Here is a 21,269-nt window from a genome sequence, read left to right as displayed (position 1 = left end):
ACCACGCCCGGCCTTAAATTTATCTTTTAAAAAGTAACATTCTAAAAGAAAAATCTGCTGATGAATAGTGTGTATTGCAAAATGTAATACAAATGGTTTTGGTATCATCCACTTATTTTAATTATCTCCTTCCTATCATCATAGATCATGGCTTTCCAGGTTTATTTCCTATGATACTAATCATACTAGGACACTGATAGATACTAAGCACAAAACAACAACAGCAACCAAAAAAAGGTTCTCTGAATGGAATAAGCTTGGGAGATGATGGATTGAATAAAGCTATTTTATTTAAACTTCAGAACTTCTAGGAGCTTATCCAATGCCAATGTGTGTTATCAGTCCCCAAGAGAGGAATAGAATGTGTAATGTTTCCTGACTCTCTTTGACAGTGACATATAGTGTTTCAGGGTACATACTTTGAGAAATACTATTAAAGATGAGCTACACCTAGGTCTACGTAGAACAATACCACTGTTGTTAAAATTTCCCTAATCAATATAGCAGTTCAAAATTTTAATTTTTATAAAATTATTATGGAAGAATATGAAATTTTTAATCACATTACCAGGAAATTAGGTCAAAATGTGTTCTTTGTAATTAGAACTTCGTGGATTTTATTTTTTATTTTTACTAAGTATTCATAAGTATTGTTTTACCACGTGACCTAACAGAGCATTCTACAATGAACTCGGGTTTACAGAATCATAACTTGGGAGATAAAACTTGTTATGTTATCTGCACGTTGGAGGAACATGGGTTAATAGTTGACTGTGTATTACATATAATGTGCAGGAATTTATTTTTGAAGTATCAGCACCACTTGAATTGCGTCTACTCACTGTAGAGTCATGGTCCTATTGCAAGTTAGGGAGTCAAAAGTTAAGACTTTAATATTTGCATATATATATATATGGCTTATGTGTCTGTATGTATATTCATGATGAGACTCATTTAAAGGCAGCGTGCCATTTCAAGGAAAACTGATCATTAAGAATTCATGGTCTGCTATCAAAGGTGATCATTCTTCTTTAGGCTTATTTCTCATGAACAAAAGTGGGTTTCATAGGAAAATTTTGTGAAGGATATAGTCAGAATCTTGCTGAAATGCAAAAAGGACATCCTGACATATGCAGAATATGTAGTCTAGAGAAAATAAATAAAAATGGCATCATCATATTCACTCTGGGCAAGAGAATACATTGAAGATTCTTTTATGAAGTTATTTTAAAAAACAAATACATATACTCTTGAGGACCTGTTTTGTAAATCTAGGTTTTTTTTTTTAATTTGTTACAGCAGATTTTATTTATTCATTTATAGGTAGTCGGAGTTTGATGCAAGAAAGCTATATCTTGCGTGTTACCCAAGGGTGGAGGGGCGGGAGTTTACCCAGTAACTGGTTTCTTCTTGTGAAGTTAGCAGAGCATCTTGTTCAGAAGCCTGGATTTCAGAGTCAGATAAATTTTGGTGTGAATTACAGCTTTTTCATGTAGTAGCTGGTTCACTGACCAAGTTAACCTGTAGTCCTCAGTTTCCTCTTTTGCAAGACTGAGCAAATATTGAGTCTCATGTAACCTTCAGGATGACACTGAAATGTTTGAAAACACTGAACATAAAGCAAGTTGCTCTTCAATTGATGCCTGATGCTGTAGCTTTCAAAGCTCCAATTTCTTTTTTTTTTTGTCTTTTTTTCTTTTTCTCTCTTGTTCATATGCATATACATAGACTACATTTTTATACATTGTCAAGAATTAGAAGAAGACACTATAGTGGTTATCGTATAATTTCTATCTTCACCTATAAAATGAAGGAATTGGATGAAATGATCACAAGTATTTTTTCTAGTTCTAATATTCTGTAAATTTCTGAGTTTTGCCATATTTCAGTGTTTCCTCCTGTGGAAGAAGTACTGCTCTATCAAGCAGATATAAAACAAAGGGATTATGGGTCAACTAAGTCTTGGAATGAATGCTAGCTCAAACAAAATTAAACAGATCTCTCTGTTATCATCCTGTTCAATCAACGTACATCTTGAATTTCTGCAGGAGAAATTTGAATTTAAAAACCTGATGTACATCTTGAATTTCTGTAGGAAATAAATGGCCAATACCCCAATTTATTAAATCACTGAATCTTATTTTTGTCTTAAAGCACCTTTTAACATCTACTAAAACTGGTGCTTTTTATTTAGAACACACTTCTGAGAACACTGACATCTATCAGTGTATGTGATCCTTTAGCAAAGGAGCTAAGCAGCTGGGCACGGTCGCTGACACCTGTAATCCCAACACTTTGGGAGGCTGAGGAGCCTGGATCACTTGAGGTCAGGAGTTCGAGACCAGCCTGGCCAACATGGTGAAACCTCATCTCTACTAAAAATACAAAAATTAGCTGGGCGTGGTGGCGTGCACTTGTAATCCCAGCTACTCAGGAGGCTGAGGCGGGAGAATTGCTTGAACCCAAGAAACAGAGGTTGCAGTGAGCTGAGATTGTGCCACTATACCCCAGCCTGGGTGACAGAGTGAGACTTGGTCTCAAAAAAAAAAAAAAAAAAAAAACTAAGCTTTTTCCTTGATAAAAGTGTATGTACATGGATATAATTATTTATAACACTGTGCTCTCCCGTTTCTCCCATACCTCTCTAACTAGACTTTCTCTGACCCATTTTCCTCATATTATCCCTTAGCGTTAGATGGACACTTTGAATTGTCTTCTTCCAATGTAGTCTCCTCCTCAGCAATTGCAATTCACTCTTAAAACTTCTTCTGCCATTTCTGTAAAAATTCTTCCTATATATATATACAGCTCTGACCTCTTTCCCAAGTTTCAATTCAGTGTTTGCATTTTCCTGCAGGATGTTTCTGCTGGCACTTAGCGCTCATCGTCTGTCTCCAAACTTGTCGTGTGTGCTCCATTTCTATTAATGACACCAGCGTTTCCGGCTTACCTGGATTTTAGCCTTTACATCATCTTTGACACCCTCCCACACCACCACTTCGAACCCCTGCAGAAATGGCTCCAAACAGCATCTTTCCTCTTCACTCCTGCCATTCTTTTGTTTTTCAGGCATTTATAGTGTTTGCCTCCTCAACAAGGCCTTCTGTCTCCAATCTTCCCTGTACTTTAACCTCTGTGAAGTTCCTATGTGCTGTAAAACTTTAATTAGGCCCTTCACGTTCTGCCAATAATTGATTTTGTTCTCCATTCAGTGTTCGTGAAGTCACCTCTGCTAGGAACCTGTATCCCATAATCATTTTATGTTCAAAGCCTATCATCCTTCACAGTCCAGCTCCTATTCCATCTGTTTTCTTGAAGTTTTTTCTGATCTTGCTAACCAGAAGTATGATCTCAGCCTTAAGCTTCCATTTTACTTTATCTGATGACACCAGCAGTTTCTACACCCCATTATGGTTATTTGTAGTAATGTGCCATTAGATTGTAAGCTCTTTAAGGAAATGATACATGTCTGGATTTGTCCCTTTATCTCCTCTGTTGCTGATCATAGTGTTTATATGTAATGAAGGCTCCATAAAAGGCTATAGAAAGGATGTTAATGGTAATGAAGGAACCACATTTCTTAAAAGATAAGCCTACAATGTGTAGTTTAGAAAATAGTTACAGGAAAGGTGGTGATGCTACAAAGTTTGTAGGATAATGCATGGAAGACTTGCGCAGGAGGCATCTTGATGTGGATGTTAGAACCTTAGAGGAAATCACGATAGAATTATTGAGTGTTAGAACCGGAGAATGTTATAACTGTTATAAACCTTATAGGTTTTTATATCATTGGTTTTCTGACTGGGTTCAGTGTAACCTTGGGTTACAGGGAGATGCCTTGGGGCCTTACCTGGGAGTGTGACTGAAAATTGTTGGGGACCCAGTTCTGCTTCCTTAAGTATTATGCCTAGTTCAGCTGATCAAAACAGCTCCACTTTTATCTCTTTTGAATATATGTATAGGGTTCTATTTCATATTTTTAAGGTATATGTTCTTGAAAAATTTTTTGAAAGGTACTTACGTAGTCCATTGTTGTTACTTTATATATGAGGAAAATTAAGTCAAGAAGTGTTCATCAATAGGTCCAAGTCCAGTATGGTGGGAAGGCCAGGATTTTCCCCAGCTGTTATGGCCTCCTATGGCACCACCATGCTGCCTGGCATCTCTGTAGCCACCCCGTCTTATAAAGTCTTTGAAGAGCAGAGAGTGAGTCTGAATGTTTCTGTGCTAGCCTTTGATACAGTGCACATTAAGAGAATGTTGTATTAATTTGCTAGTCTCATTAAATGCTCATAGAATTACTAGAGTTTTTCCTTAAGTTAGTAGCAAGGATCATTTATTTATTCATCTATTCTGCAATCTCTATCCAGCTTCTCCTGTGCCTGGCCCAGTGCTGTGCCCTAGATACAAATATGAATAAGACACAGATCCTTGCCTAATGAGAACACAACATGAGATTTAGGGGAGAGGGAGGACTGTACAAAGATAAAAATACAAAAACTGTAATGAAGAGTGCAGTGAGTCAAATTGACTTGTGGAAGGTCTCTGCTACGTCATATAGGACCATGACCATTTGCCTTTCCAAGTTCCTTTGCTCAATTGTTCATTATTAGTGAAGCATCTATTTGTTGACCTACTTGCATCATGCAGCCTGCTGATAATTTGGGGAGAACAAAACTATATAAGGCATTGAGGCATTTTTCTTGGCTTTAAAAAATTTCCAGTCTAAGTGATAAACAAAGTGAGTAATTACTCTTTGTGATTGGGATGGCGTAGGATGAGGTGAGTTGAGGTGGATATGGGAGTTTATATCTTATGTTGGAATTGTTTAAAATGTATCTGCATGAGGATCTTCAGAAAATACAACGATTAACACAAATAGGAAAATAAAATAAGTTCAGTATTGTCTATTAGGAAAATTAATGTTCCTCTCTTTCATCCTTTGACTTTCATGTTTATTGCTGCTTTCTACAACAGTGTTTACAAATTGTAAGAAATCTCCCTGTTTTAGTCTGTTCTTGCACTGCTACAAAGCAATACTTAAGACTGGGTAATTTGTAAACAAAAGAGGTTTAATTGGCTCACAGTCTTCAGGCCGTACAGGAAGTATGATGCTAGCATCTGCTCAGCTTCTGGGGAAGCCTCAGGAAACTTTCAGTCATGACAGGAGGCAAAGAGGGAGTCAGCACTTCACATGGCCAGAGCAGGGTGGGGTGGAAGTGCCACACTTTTAAACAACCAGATCTCACAATAACTTACTCACTACCATGAGAACAGCACCAAAGGGGGAAATCTTCCCCCATGATCCAATCACTTACCGCCAGATCCCACCTCCAACAGTGGGGATTACAATTCAACATTAGATTTGTGTGGGAGCACAGATCCAAACCATATCATTCCATCCCTGGCGCCTCTAAAATCTCATGTCCTTCTCACATTGCAAAATACAGTCATGCCTTCCCAACAGTCCCTCAAAGTCTTAACTCATTTCAGCCTTAACTCACTCTTATCTGAGACAAGCCTAGTCCCTTGTGCCTATGAGCCTGTAAAATTAAAAACAAATTAGTTGCTCCCAAGATACAATGGGGGTACAGGCATTGGCTAAATACTCCTATTCCAAAAGGAAGAAAGCAGCCAAAAGAAAGGGGCTACAGGCACTGTGCAAGTCCGAAACCCCGGCAGGACAGTCATTAAATCTTAAAGCTCCAATAATAACCTGCTTTGACTCCATTTCTTATATTCAGGGCACACTGGTGTGAGGAGTGGGCTCCCAAGGCCTTGGGCAGCTCTGCCCCTGTGGCTTTTCCAGAGTTCAGTCCCTGCGGTTGCTCTCATGGGCTGGCGTTGAGTGCCTATGGCTTTTCCAGGTGCAGGGTGCAAACTGCTGGGGGCTCTACCATTCTGGGGTTTGGAGGATGGTAGCCCTCTTCTCACAGCTCCACTAAGCAGTGACCCATTGGGGACTCTTTGTTGGGGCACCAACCCCACATTTCTCTTCTGCACTCCCCTAGTAAAGGTTCTCCAAGAGGGTTCCACCCCTGCCGCAGATGTCTGCCTGGATATCCAGGCTTTTCCATACATTCTCTGACATCTAGGCAAAGGCTCCGAAGCCTTAACTCTTGCATTCTGCATACCCATAGGCTTAACGCCATGTGGAAGCCACCAAGGCTTATGGCTTACACTCTCTGGAGTGACAGCTTGAGCTGTACCTTGGCCCTTTTAGCCACAGCTGTAGCTAGAGTGGCTGGGATGCAGGGAGCAGTATAGGGCAGTGAAACTTCCCGGGGACTGGCCTATGAAACCATTCTTCTCTCCTAAGCCTCCAGGCCTGTGATAGGAGGGGCTGCTGCAAAGGTCTCTGAAATGCCTTTGAGGCATTTTCCCCATTTTCTTGCTATCAGCACTTGCCTGCCTTTTAGTAAAGCAAATTTCTTCAGCCTGCTGCAAATTTTCACATGGCCAGGCTGCAAATTTTCCAAACTTTTAGATATAAGTTCCAGTTTTATGTCATTTATTTGCTCGCACATATAAGCATAGGTTGTTAGAAGCAGCCAGGTTACTTCTTTAATGCTTTGCTGCTTAGAAATTTCTTCTGCCAGATACCCTAAATCATCACTCTCAAGTTCAAAATTCCACAGATCCCTAGGGCAGGGGCACAGTGCCTCCAAGTTCTTTGCTTCCGCATAACAAACATAACCTTTGCTTTAGTTCCCAATAAGTTCCTCATTGCCATCTGATACCTCCACAGCCTGGACTTTATTGTCCGTATCACTATCAGCATTTTGGTCACAACAATTTAAGAAGCCTCTAGGAAGTCTCAAACTTTCCCTCATCTTCCTGTCATCTTCTGAGCCATCCACACTCTTCCAACCTCTGCCCATTACCCAGTTCCCAAAGTTGCTGCTACATTTTCAGGTATTTTTTATAGCAATTCCCCACTTCTTGGGACCCATTTTTCTGAATTCGTTTATTCTGGCACTGCCATAAAGGATACCTGAGACTGGGTAATTTATATAAAAAGAAGTTTAATTGGCTGATGGTTCTGCAGGCTACACAGGAAGCGTGGTGCTGGCATCTGCTCAGCTTCTGGGGAGGCCTCGGGAAACTTTAAATCACAGCAGAAAGTGAAGGGGGAGCTGGCACTTCACATGGCCGGAGCAAGAGGAAGAGAGAGAGGGGGCAGGTGCCCCACACCTTTAAACAACCAGATCTCATGATGACTTAACTCACTCACTCACTATCATGAGAACAGTACTAAAGGGGGTAATGCCATTATGATCGAGTCACCTCTCACCAGGCCCCACATTCAACATTTGGGATTACAATCCAGCATGAAATTTGAGCGGGGACACAGATCCAAACCAAATCACTCCCTTATCCTAGTTTAAAAAAAAAAAAAAATCATGTATTGGCTCATTTTAATAAAGTCAGCCAAAAAAAAAAAAAAAACAGTTTTAAATAATGAACTTCTGGATTCCCTCTGCACTTGTGCACCCTCCATGTTTTAGTTACAGCAGCATTGGCCTTGCTTTGTCATTTAGCACATTTGTTCTTTTTAACTCTGGATAAGCATTTTACAACTTTGCATCGTGGAATAATCTTTCCTGCAATTTCATATTGCCCTACAACTCATTTTATAACAATAACAGTTTAAAACATTTGCTGTATTTGCTAATAAGTTAAACTATTTCCCATCTGCCCTCACATATTAAATTGTTCTGGCTAATTAGGTGAGGTGGTAGCACATTGATATCTTTCTGTCCTTCCAGTCATGTGTTATGATAGCCCTGAGCTTTAGAAAGTGTGGTTTTAAATACCAACAGTTTGTAGTTTGGCTTTTCATTTCCTTGTTGCAAATTTAAGTCATGACTGGTCTTTTCAGGAAATCAGTGCTGCCTCTTTGTTGGCTGATTTGCTGAAATTAGGAAGTAGAGAAAATTTTGCAAAGATTTCCTCCCACTTCTTTGCCATTATGTTTAACACTGCCCATGAAGGTGTGAGTGTGTGCATGTACATCTCTGTGTGTATTCTTGGGGGATGATAGAGGCAATGGGATTACTATTACCTGTTTTTTATGTGGGTACCTTGATTGTTCATTCAACCCAATGGCCTAAATATGAAATTGGTAACTAGTTCCAAAGTCTCTTTGTTTTGTGAACTCTTAAGAAAACTCTTTTTCCGAGTAAAGAAGCCTTCTAGGGCTCTTTTACTTTCATTATTTGGTTCCCTTATCATATTTTACTTAACTCAGCATTGATTCTCATTTCATTTTAGGTATTAATACATATTAATTAAAATGTAATCTCAGTTGTTTCTCTGTGAGAGTTGGTAATCTCATAAGGACGAATAGTTTTCTTTTCACCCAAGAGTTTTTCTATTAGTTTAGACTGATTTAGTTGTACCACCTTACACTTTTTAATATAATTTGTCGCCTTTCATTTAAGTTTTTCATTTTTTTTGTTGTAGTGCTTCATTTTGTTTATTTGCCAACATTAGAATCAGCCATGAAGAAAAGTTGGAATCCCTTGTGTGTACTTTTTAGAATTGAACTTACATCCTAATGAAAAGAGTTCTTCCTAATTTTAGTTAAAATATTTTTTACCTTGACATAAAATTATTTGGTTTTCTTTCAAAAAGGCAACTCATGGTAATTTCCTTTTTTTGCAATGACTTACTACATTAAATAACTGTATATCCTTAATCCCTAGTGAATATAGATATATAAAATTGTTAATCAGAGTAGTGTTTCTTAATAGTAGATGTAGATTAATGAAGGAAAACTTTCTTGCTCGAAAAAGTTATTTGGGATGAAGACATTTATGAGGGAACTTTAAAATGAAAGTAATTTTCATTTTAAACTTCAATGTAGCCATCTGTAGGTTGGCAATCATTACTAACAAGAAAACTAAGGCAAGAAGAAGTTGCTATTGTGCCTCTTGAAATACTAGAATAACATTCTCAGTGTCATTGCTGTCTATGGGACTATACTCACATTCCTAACCAGCAGAAACTACATCATACTGGACTCTTGGTAAAATATTAAGCTGGACAATGGTATAGATAAAACATATATTTTAAATATATAACCAAAAATTTAATTTGAGTGTGTGCAGAGAGAGGTAGGGAGCTTGGCATTTAGGGTCATAGGTAGAGACAACTCACCATGGAAAAACTGATAAAATTATTTGCACGAGATATTTGACTACAAAGAAGGAATAATGCATTCATTTATTGTTGGGAGAAACAGAAGGAATAAAACTCAGTTCTCCACTTGAGGTGCTCATACAATTAAATGACTTTTCTAGATACTCATTACACCTCATTGAAATTCTAGAATGAGATTTAGTGTTCTCATTGTCATTGCTCTCTGTTTCACTGTACTCAAATTCCTAACATGGCAGATACTGTGTCACGCTGGACTCTTGGTAAAATAATAATGCTAATGTTAGTACTAGCATAACAAACTTACAAGACAATCTATACGAAGAATAACTAAGGTTAAATCTATATATGTATAGTGGTTATGTAAAGGATATTATTGGTTTGATTGTTCTATTTATATTCAGCAAAGACACCCTGACTGTAAGAAAAGAAACAGAAATGCCATAGTTATGAAAAATTGACCATTAACTTGAAGGAAATATTGAACTAAAGAGTTGAGACCACTTAATTTTGTTAGCTATTGATTATTAGAGTTTTCTACAGTAAAGTATTTTTAAATTAAAAAATTGTTAGCTAAAAATGATATTGAACATGAATTAATCTTCTGGATTTTGGTATTTAAAGGAAAAAGATTTTCAGTGGTTAGAATTAAGGAAGACTCTTGCTATGGTGTCAGCATGTCCCCAGAGTTCATGTGCTAGAAACTTAATCCCCAATGCAGTGTTAGGAGGTAACACCTAATTAGAGACTGTTAGGTCATAAGGGAAAAGGGCTCTGCCCTAATTAATGGATTAATGTTATCAAGGGAGTGGGTTAGTTATCGTGAGAGTAGTTTTGTTTTAAAAGCAACTGTGATCCCCAACTCGCTCTCTTGCGCTTTCTTGACCTTCTGCCTTACTAGGAGAAGGGCAGCAAAGCACAAGAGAGCAGGTGGGGGTTAGAGAAGACCCCAGCAAGGAGGCCCTCATCAGATGCAGGCCCCTTACTTGACTTTGAACTTCCAGCCTCCAATACTGTAAGAAATAAATCTCTGTTCATTTTAAATTATGCAGTTTGTGGAATTCTTTCACAGCAACCCAAAACAGACTACGACAGAAGATTGGTACCGAGAATTAGGGCTGTTGCTATAACAATAAGCTGAAAATGTGGAAGGGGCCTTGGAATTGGGTAATCCACAGAAGCTGGGACAGTTATGAAGTGAATGCTAGAAAAAGCCTAGACTGCTGCAAACGGAGCATTGTGGGCAGTTGGGTGAGGGCTCAGGAGAAGACAAGAAATTTAAGGACCATCTGGGACTTCTTAGACATTACTTAAGTGATCATAATTAGAATGTTAGTAGAAACATGCATAGTAAAGTCCATTTTGATGAGGTCTCAGGTAGAAATGAAGAACAAGGTATTTGAAACTGGAGTAAAGACTGTCCTTGTAATAAAGTCACAGAGAACTTGGCTGAATTGTATTCTTGTCCAAGGGCTTTAGGGAAGGCAGAATTTATGAGCAAGGAGCTAAGATATCTGGTGCAATAAATTTCAAAGCAAAATGTTGATGGAGCTAAGTAGCTACTTTTAACCACATACAGTAAGATATGAGAGGAATGACTTAAAGATAGAACGATAATTAAAGGAGAAGCAGAAGAAAGATTTTGAAAATGTTCAGCCTGGCCTTACAAAGAATGATAAAGCATGCTTGGGAAAGCAAACCACAGTTGTGGCCAAGCAACCATTTGCAAAGATATTGTTATGGATACAAGAGATCAAGACAATGGGAGAATGACCCCTGAAAACATTTCAGAGATCTTTGAGGCTGCCCATTCCATCACAGTCCCAGAGGTGTAGGAGGGCAGAATGGTTTCAAGGGATGGGCCCAGGGTGCTCTCCACCAGAGCCCCCTCAGTTCTCTGCTCCCCACATTCTGGCACAGCATTCCTTGGCTACCCCAGCCGTGGTGTAAGCCGGCCTAGCTACAGCTTAGCCCACTGTTCTAGGAAATACAAGCCATAAACCTTAGCAGCATCCATGTGGTGCTAATTCTGCAGGCACACAGAATGTAAGAGCTGTAGAGGCATGGCTTTCTTTACCTAGATTTCAAAAGATGTGGGATATTCCATGACAGCTGCTGGGTCGTCTAAGCCCAGTGAAGTCATAGGATTGGGGCTGCCTGAGGCCTTGGGGGCCCAACCCCAATTCCAGTGTTTTCAGGATTTGGGACATCAAAGGAAACTATTCTCCAGCTTTAAGTCTTAATGTTGTTTTCCCTATTTGGTTTTGGAGTTGGGTTTTGTTCATTCTTTTTTCTTGCCTATTTCTCCCTTTTGGAATGGGAGCATCTATGTCTGTCTCACCATAGTATTTGAAGTAGATAACTTGTTTGATTTCACAGGCCCACAGCTGGTGGGAAATTTGCCTAAGGATGAATCATGCCTCAAATTGACCTGTATCTGATTTAGGTCAGAGTTTGGACTTCGGACTTCTGAGTTGGTGCTAGAAAGAGTTAAAACTGGGGTCACTGTGATGAAATGAATGTATTTCAGAGGCCACAGACAGAATACTATGGTTTGAATATGTCCCCCAACCATTAGGCAAGGCTTCATAAGAGGTGCTTAGGTCATGAGGGCTATGAGTGGATTAAGGTTGTTACTGCAGGAGTGGGTTTCTTATAAAACCAAGTTCACAGCCCTCTTCCTCTCTCACACTTTCTTGCCCTTGCACCTTCCACAATGGGATGATGTAGCAAGGGAGTCCCTCATCAGATTCAGGACCCTTGACTTTGGACTTCCCAGTCTCCAGAACTGTAAGAAATAAGTCACCATTCGTGATAAACTCCTCAGCCAGTGGAATTCTGTTTTAGCAACACAAAATGGACTAGGACAGCTCTCTCATATGGCTCTGTGAAATGTAATTTTATCAAGAACCTAAAGCATATCTCATACTTAATCTGAGCTCACACTTAAGATTTAAGTACTTGTTTTCTCAGCTGAACTCAGGTGTATAGGAAACTGGAAAGATTTGCCACCCAGTTCTTAGCTTTAAAAGGCCAAATTTTTTTAAAAAATGACAATACATTGTTTGCTTCATGTCTAAGTGGCATTTCTCTTGATAATGAGATTGAGATGGATACTTAGAAATTTTAAGGGTTTTATTGTGAAAAGCTTAAATATTTCTAAATATGATGAAAGTTATGTACTTTACAAATATTGTTATCTTCATTTCACATTATCTTCAGAATATTCAGAGCAGACAGGTTGGTGAGCAGATGGAATGTGATTATGTTAGTAGCCTACTTGTCCTAAAGCATTTTTAGAATCACTGAGGAGCAAAGAATTATGGAGGCTGGGATGTAAAGAAAGCATTTTTCTTAGTATGCTAAGGATAGAGAATCTTATATCCTCTATATCAATTGCTAAGTGCTTGATGTTTGATGAGGAATGATACAAGATGATATATAATAAATATAGTTTCTGAATGATTTTTAATGTGTATATGAGGAGCATTTTAGACAGTAGTTGTTTCATTGAGCATTTATGTACTCGTACATTATAATTTATACATATATGTATATTTTTTAAAGGTGAGAAAATTTAGCCAGATCAAGAATACTCAAGGAAGTTATTTTTAGTTGCCCCTTAAAAATTTTCCAATAGATCTTTTGGGAATACCTAACATGTGGCTTGACCCCAGTGTATTTTCAGAAACTTTTTTAACCATTGGTTAAGTTTGTCTTGGTTTGGAAAGCATACTACAGTCATTGTACATATGGTCAGATCCTTTATTTAGAAAGCCAAGTTACTAGCCTACATCTTTCTCATATCTGGCAGCATTTTTCTTGGTATTAAAAGGCTAGTGATGAAGCCTAACATTTTTAATAAAGCATAGTCTCTTTTTTACTTTTAGGATTCCTGTGTCAAAATAAGGTATTTTTAGAGAATAGAATGCAATTCATATTTTCAGCAGAATTTTAAAATTTAACTACATGCTTTCTTTTTTATTTTTGGTAAGTGACAAAGATCCATTTTAGACTCATCCTGCCTCGTGGTATAATGTGATGTGGTATAATAGAAACCCCATGATAACTCAGCACATTTTTTATAAGTTCATTCTTCGCTTTATTTTCCTGCAATCATCTGATCACAGTATTGAGATGTGAGCCACCTTAGTGTTCTGCCCCTGCATTCAACCACCACCTTTATTTTTTAAACTGCTTTATTGAGGTGTAATTTTTATGCCATAAAATTCACCCACTTAAGTGTACCAATTTTATGCTACACCAATGTTTGTAACTTTGCACACTTGTGTAACAACCACCGTAGTTTATCACCCCATTTCCATCACCCAACAAGGATTTCTTGCATTATAATTTAGCATGTTTGATACAGACTCTTCCCTCCTCTCTGATCCTGTACTGCTTTGTACACAGCTCTGTGGAGACATATAGTATTTTATAAAAAATGTTTTAGCCAATATTTTGTGTATCTGTTTCCCCTACTGGATGATGAACCCCTCGAGGGGTCTTAATCATCATGATATCAGGACTGCCTAGCACACACTGCCTGGCAACTTAGAGCTCCTTCCCATCACTACTCAGCTGGCCCTGATGCCCAGGGATACCAGTTCCCAAGCATTGCTTCCTGGAGGAGAGCAGGGACTTGGTAACATCTAGCTTCTAGGCTGGTTGTAAGGTGAGGAAATTAAATTACAGGGATCATGGTAATGATTGCCAGTACAAGGTGGACTTTGGGACCTGATTTATAACCCCTACCCTTCTGTAATGTTCTGGCTAGAGGAGTGTATACACAGAGCAGAGAGCTGAGTGAAATGAAGTCAAGCCTCTGCTGTGTAATGCAGAGTGCAAGGCACCTGCAGAAAGTTATACTGGAGAATGTGACTGGGACCTGAGTGGCCACCAAGCCTGCTGAGCTCCCCAGCCTAACCATATTACAGGCTGTGAAATCAGAACTAAAGGAGCAGAGGTGAGCTCTGCCCCACTGGGTTTGCCACATAGTAAGGCAAAAGGGATAGAGCGGTTTACCTGATGCCAAAGAAGTAGTGGGGGCAAGTGTCGAGTTTCTCTTTTGAGACACTCAAAGGTAGGTCAGTGGGGCTAATTAGTTCTGCTTCCTAAATAGAGAGGAAAGAACAGGGCTTTCTTCTGCCATCTTCCCTCCAGTCTTACTGATGTATTAGTCCATTCTCATGCTGCTATAAAGAACTGCCCAAGACTGGGTAATTTATAAAGGAAAGAGGTTTAATTGACTCACAGTTCCGCAGAGGTGGGAAGGCCTCAGGAAACTTACAGTTATGGCAGAAGGGGAAGGAAACACGTCCTTCTTCACATGGTGGCAGGAAGGAGAAGAATGAGAGCCAAGTGAAGGTGAAGGGCCTTATAAAACCATCAGATCTCACGAGAACTTAATATCACACGAGTAGCCTGGGGGAAACTGCTCCCATGATTCAGTTACCTCCCACTGGTCCCTCCCATGACACATGGGGATTACAGGAACTACAATTCAAGATGAAATTTGGGTGGGGACACAGCCAAACCGTATCACTTAACAATGTATGCAGTTTTGTTGTTGTGGAGGGTTTGCATGGTAAAACTTGGGGTACCTGCTCCATATCTTAGGGGAGAGGCTTTTTGCAGTATTTAGCCTACACTTAGCAGCATAGGTTTCCATTTAGGGTCAATGCTGTGGAGACACATGGAATATCCTGATCTTTTGTTGTGGTTTTGTATTGGTCTATATCAACGGAGTTCTACAATCATGAAATACTAGAACTAGAATGGATTCACGACCACAGTCTGCTTCCAAGAGCTGTTTTTTGAAAGTGAATGGGGATTCCAGAGACCTTTCTACTCATCCTGGGCTCCCACTCCCTGGACAGGCTTTGCATGGCTTGTATTTACTGACTTAGAGCAAGCTTCAAATTTTACATATGAGGAGGCTGAGATCTAGAGAGATGCTGCAGCTTATTCAGGATCACAGTGAAGTTTATGGAAGAGCAAGTACTGAGACACAGTTGTCCCAGTTTTTCTTCTCTAGGGCACACTCCCATCTGCAAAAGTGATAAAATTAATCTGAAGCTGTGGTGAGGTAGCATCTAAGTATATCCATTTCCTTTGGCTGCCATAACAAAATGCCACAAATGGGCTTTAAAAACCCAGATTTATTGTCTCATGGTTCTTGATCACTGAGATCAAGGTGAAAATAGGGTTGTTTCCTCCTGAAGGCCATGACCGGGAGTCTCCTCCATGCCTCTCTCCTAGCCTGTGGTAGCTTCAGGGTCTTCCTTCTGTATGTGTGTGTCTGTGTCCAGATTTCTTTCTTTAATAAGGACATCAATATTGTTAGATTAGGGCCCACTCTTTAATCATCTTATTTCCAAACAAGGTCATATTCCTAAATGCTGGAAGTTAGTACTTTAATTTCTCTTGTGGGGACTGAATTAAACCCATAACACTAAGACTAGAGCAATAAAAGGGAAATGGGGCACAATGGTGGACTAGGAAGCTCCAGGCCCTTGTTTTCTTAGGGAAACATTCCATAAGCAAGTAAGACCATCTGAAAGAACTTCACATGTGCTCTGAAAACCAAAGATGTACAGCAACCAGGCAAACTCTCAATTAAAAAAAAAAGCCACATTTAAAACAGTAGAAAACTTCAAAGCAATGTTATTTGCCCTTACCCGACTCCCTCCACAGCATGGTATAGCATAGTCCTTAGGAAGCAGCCCAATTACTTACTCCCTCTCTTGGGATGCAAGGAAGAGAGTGGGACTTGATAACAATATTCTGGCCTGTCTGTAGGCTGCCCATGTGACTGGTTTCTATTTTGCCTAAAGTAGGGATCGAAGAGGGGATGGTGTCATAGTTTGGATTTCAGACTGGCACAAGCCACGGAAGGGCAGTGGTCAATGCCATGGCACCTGATTCTGTAGTTTCCCCCATTATATATTCTTGAAACCTTTTCCAGAAATCCAGTTGACCTTAGCTACTTGGGATTTTTTTCTGGGCTTTCTGTTTTTATACCAGTATCATGCTGTTTTGATTACAGTAACTTTATATTTTACAGTCAAAAAACTATGCCTCCAGCTTTGATTTTTTGCTGAAGATTGCTTTGGCTGTTTGGAGTAGTTTCTAGTTTCCTACAAATTTTAGTATTTTTTCTATCCCTATAAAAAATGACATTGGAATTTGGTTACTAGGTATATTTTAACAATATTAATTCTTCCAGTTCATTAACATGGGATTTTTTTCTCCATTGATTTGTGAATTTTTCAATGTTTTACGGTTTTCAGTACACAGATCTTCACCTCCTTGCTTAAATTTATTCCTACTTGTTTTTTTTTGTTTGTTTGTTTTTAATGCTTTTGGAAGTGGGATTGTTTTCTTAATTCTTTGAGTAGTTAGTGTACAAAAATGCTACTCATTTTTTGTGTGTTGGTTTTTTAATCTAAAACTTTACTGACTTTAGCAGTTCTAACAGTTGTCAGGGAGGGGTAGTTTTTACGGTTTTTCTATATATAAGATTATGTCAGCATCAGAGACAGTCACTTCCTTTTTTTTTTTTCTTGCCTAATTGCTCAGCCTAAAACTCCCAAAACTGTGTTGAACAAAAGTGGTGAGAGTGGGCATTCTTGTCTTGTTCATGGTCTTAGAGGAAAAACATTCCACCTTTGACTGTTGAGTATGATGTTAGCTGTGGGCTGTAACAGTACTGAATCTTTTTTTTTTTTTTTTTTTTGAGATGGAATCTCGCTCTGTCGCCCAGGCTGGAGTGCAGTGGCGTGATCTTAGCTCACTGCAACCTCCACTTGCCAGGTTCAAGCAGTTCTCTGCTTCAGCCTCCCAAGTAGCTGGGATTACAGGCACCTGCCACTGCAGTGGGCTAATATTTGTATTTTTAGTAGAGATGGGGTTTTACCATTTTGGCCAGACTGGTCTTGAACTCCTGACCTTGTGATCTACCTGCCTCGGCCTCCCAATGTGCTGGGATTACAGGCATGAGCCACCATGCTGGGCCCAGTACTGAATCTTAATGATGATAATAGAATAATCAATTTGAAGGACAGAAATCTTTCTTCCAGATTGATTCTGATCTATGAGAGACTGGCAGTACTGTATTTTTATATTTTTATTATGGTATTGGTTGTAGATACAAATAGTTTTTCATTGTAAAAATAAAATATAGAAACTAGAAACAACTCAGTATCTTTCGGTAGATGAATAGATAAACAAACTGGCACGACCATAAAATGAAATGGTACTTTACAATGGTAGGGAACAAACTATCGATTCACATTACAATATGGATGAATCTTAAATGCATTTTGCCAAATGCAAGAAACCATTTTATATGCCATTCTGGAAAAGGCAGAACTATAGGGATGGAAGTCAGTTGCCAGGAATCGATGGGAGAGAGGAGTTGGCCAAATAACAGTGTGAGGGAATTTGGGGGGTGATAAGACTGTTCCATTTGGCATTGTAGTGGGTACATGACTCTATACATTATCTAAATCCTTAAATCTGAACATCACAAGAAATGCATTTTCAAAAATGCTTATTTTTTAAGAAAATCAGTCAGGATATGATAAACACAAAGTAGAATTCAGACTATAACGAAGGAATGTGTTTTTCACCTAACCATTGTGATGAGAGTGAGAAAAAAAGAGCTCACCCATAACTTTGGAAAACAGTGTAAGACAAAAGAAATGTACACAAACACTGTACTCTAGTACATAAATTTGTTCCTCACATGGGTGTAGGCTAGCAATTTTGGAACTCTTTTATATGTTTACTGAGATTGAACAAATCAATATATTGCAGATCGTGAAAGCCAGTTTTCTCACTATTGAAGATGTACAGATAAGCAAGTGGGAGAAGGCTGGAATGTGCTGGCTTAGGTTTGGTGGTGTTAATATAAATTAATTGGGATGGTTGGATGGATACACAAATATAGATGTGTGTATACACGTGAGTGTACTTATATATACAGTCATACATCACTTCATAACTGTAATATGTTCTGAGAACTGTGTCATCAGGCGAATTCATCACTGTGTGAACATCATGTGTACTATATGGTATAGCCTATTGCTCCTAGGCTATAATCCTGTATAGCTCGTTACTGTGCCAAATACTATAGGCAGTAGTAACACAATGGTATTTGTATATCTAAACAGAAAACAAACAGTAATCAAAAAATGAACAGCAACAAATATGGCATTAAAGATTTTTTGTAAATGGTATTCCTGTTTAGGGCACTTTACCATGAATGGAGTTTGCAGAACTGGAAGTTGCTCTGGGTGGGTCAGTGACTGAGTGAGTGTTGAATGGATTTGAAAGCCTACGACATTACTACACAGTACTGTAGACTTTCTAAACACTGTACACTTAGGCTACAGGAAATTTCTTTTTAAAAACCTTTTCTTCAATTATAAATTAACATCAGCATACTGTAACTTTTTTACTTCATAAACTCGTTATTTTAGCTTTTTAACTTTTTGGTAATAACAGCTTAAAACACATTATACAGCTGTACAAAAACATTATATCCTTATTTTATAAGTGTTTTCCTATTTTTGAAATTTTGCCTTTTTTACTTTTAAAAACTTTTTTGTTAAAAAAATTGTTAAAAATTAGAACACATGGGACTTTATAGCCTAAGAGTTTAAATAATAAAAATAATTAGAACACAAATACACACGCTGGCTTAGGGCCACACAAGGGTCAGGATCATCAATATCACTGTCTTTCGCCTCATGTATTGTCCCACTGGAAGGTCTTCAGGGGCGTGCATGAAGCTGTCATCTCCTATGATAACAAAGCCTTTTTTATTTTATTTTACTTTAAGTTCTGGGATACATGTGCAGAACCTGCAGGTTTGTTACATAGGTATACATGTGCCACAGTGGTTTGCTGCACCTATCAAACCATTATCTAGGTTTTAAGCCCCACGTGCATTAGGTGTTTTTCCTAATGCTCTCCTCCCTCCCCTTGCCCTCCACCCCACCCCCAACAGGCCCCAGTGTATGATGTTCCCCTCCTTGTGTCCAAATGTTCTCATTGTTCAACTTTCACTTATGAGTGAGAACATGTGGTGTTTGGTTTTCTATTCGTGTGTTAGTTTGCTGAGAATGATGGTTTCCAGCTTCATCCATGTCCCTGCAAAGGACATGAATTCATTCTTTTTTATGACTCCATAGTATTCCATAGTGTATATGTGCCACATTTTCTTTATCCAGTCTATCATTGGTGGGCATTTGGGTTGGTTCCAAGTCTTTGGTGTTGTAAATAGTGCAAAGCCTTCTTTTGGAACACCTACTGAAAGACCTGCCTGAGGCTGTTTTACAGTTAACTTTTTTTTTAATAAATAGAAGTAGGATACTCTAACACTGAAAAGCATAGTATGGTAAGTGTTAGACAATGGGATTTTTTTTGGCTGCATTATAATTTTACAAGACAATGGTTGTATATTGTATGCTGTCCATCGTTGACCACACATTGTTATATGATACATAACTGTATCTCCCTAGCTTTGTCTATTGGGAGGACCCCAAAGCAATGAGCACACCTAGCCCCGAGATTTGATTTCTAAATACTGTTCTCCAGTAAGAAGAACCAAGGCTCCTTGGAGAAGTGGTTGATTTCAGGGCCAGGACAAGGAAAATTTAAGATGAGCTTGGCGTTCTGTGGTACCTGAAAGTAAAGAAGTCCTTTAGAAGATGAGGCATGTTCACAGGACATAGGAGCACACCTTATTATAACTCCCAATGGCCAAAGCTGCAAAAATTTAAGCAACAAATTAAATAACAATAGTATTTGATTATAACCTAAAGAATAAAACAAATATCCATGTGTCCATACTTACAGAAGAATTTCAATTAATGAATGTAGAATAAATGAGGGAACCTTTAAAACACCGTAATAATAATTGTTACAAGATAAAGTTAGTGGGTAAAGGAGAATCACAATATTTGCATAGTTACAAGATATCTCCCCAAAAACACTTACAAAGTTAAATAGTAACTTTACTGTAGAGGAACCTGTGGGACACTGCCTTAACCAAGTGATCATGGTTAATTCTAACAAGTAATAAAACTTGTATCCCCTGGACCTAAAGCACTGAGAAAGATGCATCACCTATATGGAATCTTTCCCCAAAAAATGCATAACGTCTATCCAGTCATGAGAAAACATCAGAAAAACCTAAACTGAGGATATTCTACAAGATAACTGACCAATACTGTTCAAAGTGTCAAGGTCATAAAGGACAGGGAGAGACTGAGGAACTGTTACAGACTGGAAGACGCTAAAGAGACATGACAACAGAATGCACTGTGGGATCATGGATAGGATCCTAGAATAGAAAAAAATGGTAAACTAGTGAAATCCAAATGAAGCCGAGTTTAATTCATTGTATTAAACTTACGTTAATTTTTTAGTTTTGAAATTTTTTACGATAGTTATTAATATATAAGATGTTAATATTAGGAGAAGCTGGGCATAGGGGAATCCTGTCCTTCACAAATCTAAAATTCTTTCAAAATAAAAGTAAAATATCCATTTCTTCTAAGAGTCCAGTTTTGTTTTCACTTATCTCACAATTACTGATAAAATACCAAAAGAGAAAAAAAAGGCTGTTTTTCTCTGATTACCGTCATTATCAAACACTTCTGGTTTTGTGATATATTTAAAATATATTGTGGTTATTTGCAAACTGTTAATCTGGCTAATATCCAGCTTCTATAAGGAACCTAAACAATTCAACAAGCAAAAAACTAAATAACCTTACTAAAAAAGTGGGCAAAGGACATGAGCAGACTGTTCTCAAAAGAAGATATACAAATGGCCAACAAACATGAAAAAATACTCGGCGTCACTAATCATCAGAGAAATGCAAATCAAAACCACAATGAGATACCATCTGACACCAGTCAGAATGGCTGTTATTAAAAAGGCAAAAAAATTAACAGATGCCAGTGGGGCTGCAGAGAAAAGGGAACACTTATACATCATTGGTGGGAATGTAAGTTAGTTCAGCTACTGTGGAAAGCAGTTTTTAAGTACTTTGTTAGAGTACATAAAAAAGAACTACCATTCAAATCAGCAAT

General features: G+C 38.4%; 1 protein-coding gene across 23 annotated transcripts in view; it reads left to right on the top strand.

Moving 5' to 3' along the window:
- PSD3 (pleckstrin and Sec7 domain containing 3) overlaps window positions 1-21,269 on the top strand; it is a 557,503-nt gene that overhangs the window by 429,751 nt on the left and 106,483 nt on the right. The window lies entirely within an intron of this gene.

This window comes from Homo sapiens, chromosome 8 (assembly GCF_000001405.40).
Source record: "Homo sapiens chromosome 8, GRCh38.p14 Primary Assembly".
NCBI classification, from domain to species: Eukaryota; Metazoa; Chordata; class Mammalia; order Primates; family Hominidae; genus Homo; species Homo sapiens.
The sequence above is the reverse complement of the archived record's forward strand: the minus strand, read 5'-3'. Positions and strand labels throughout refer to the sequence as shown.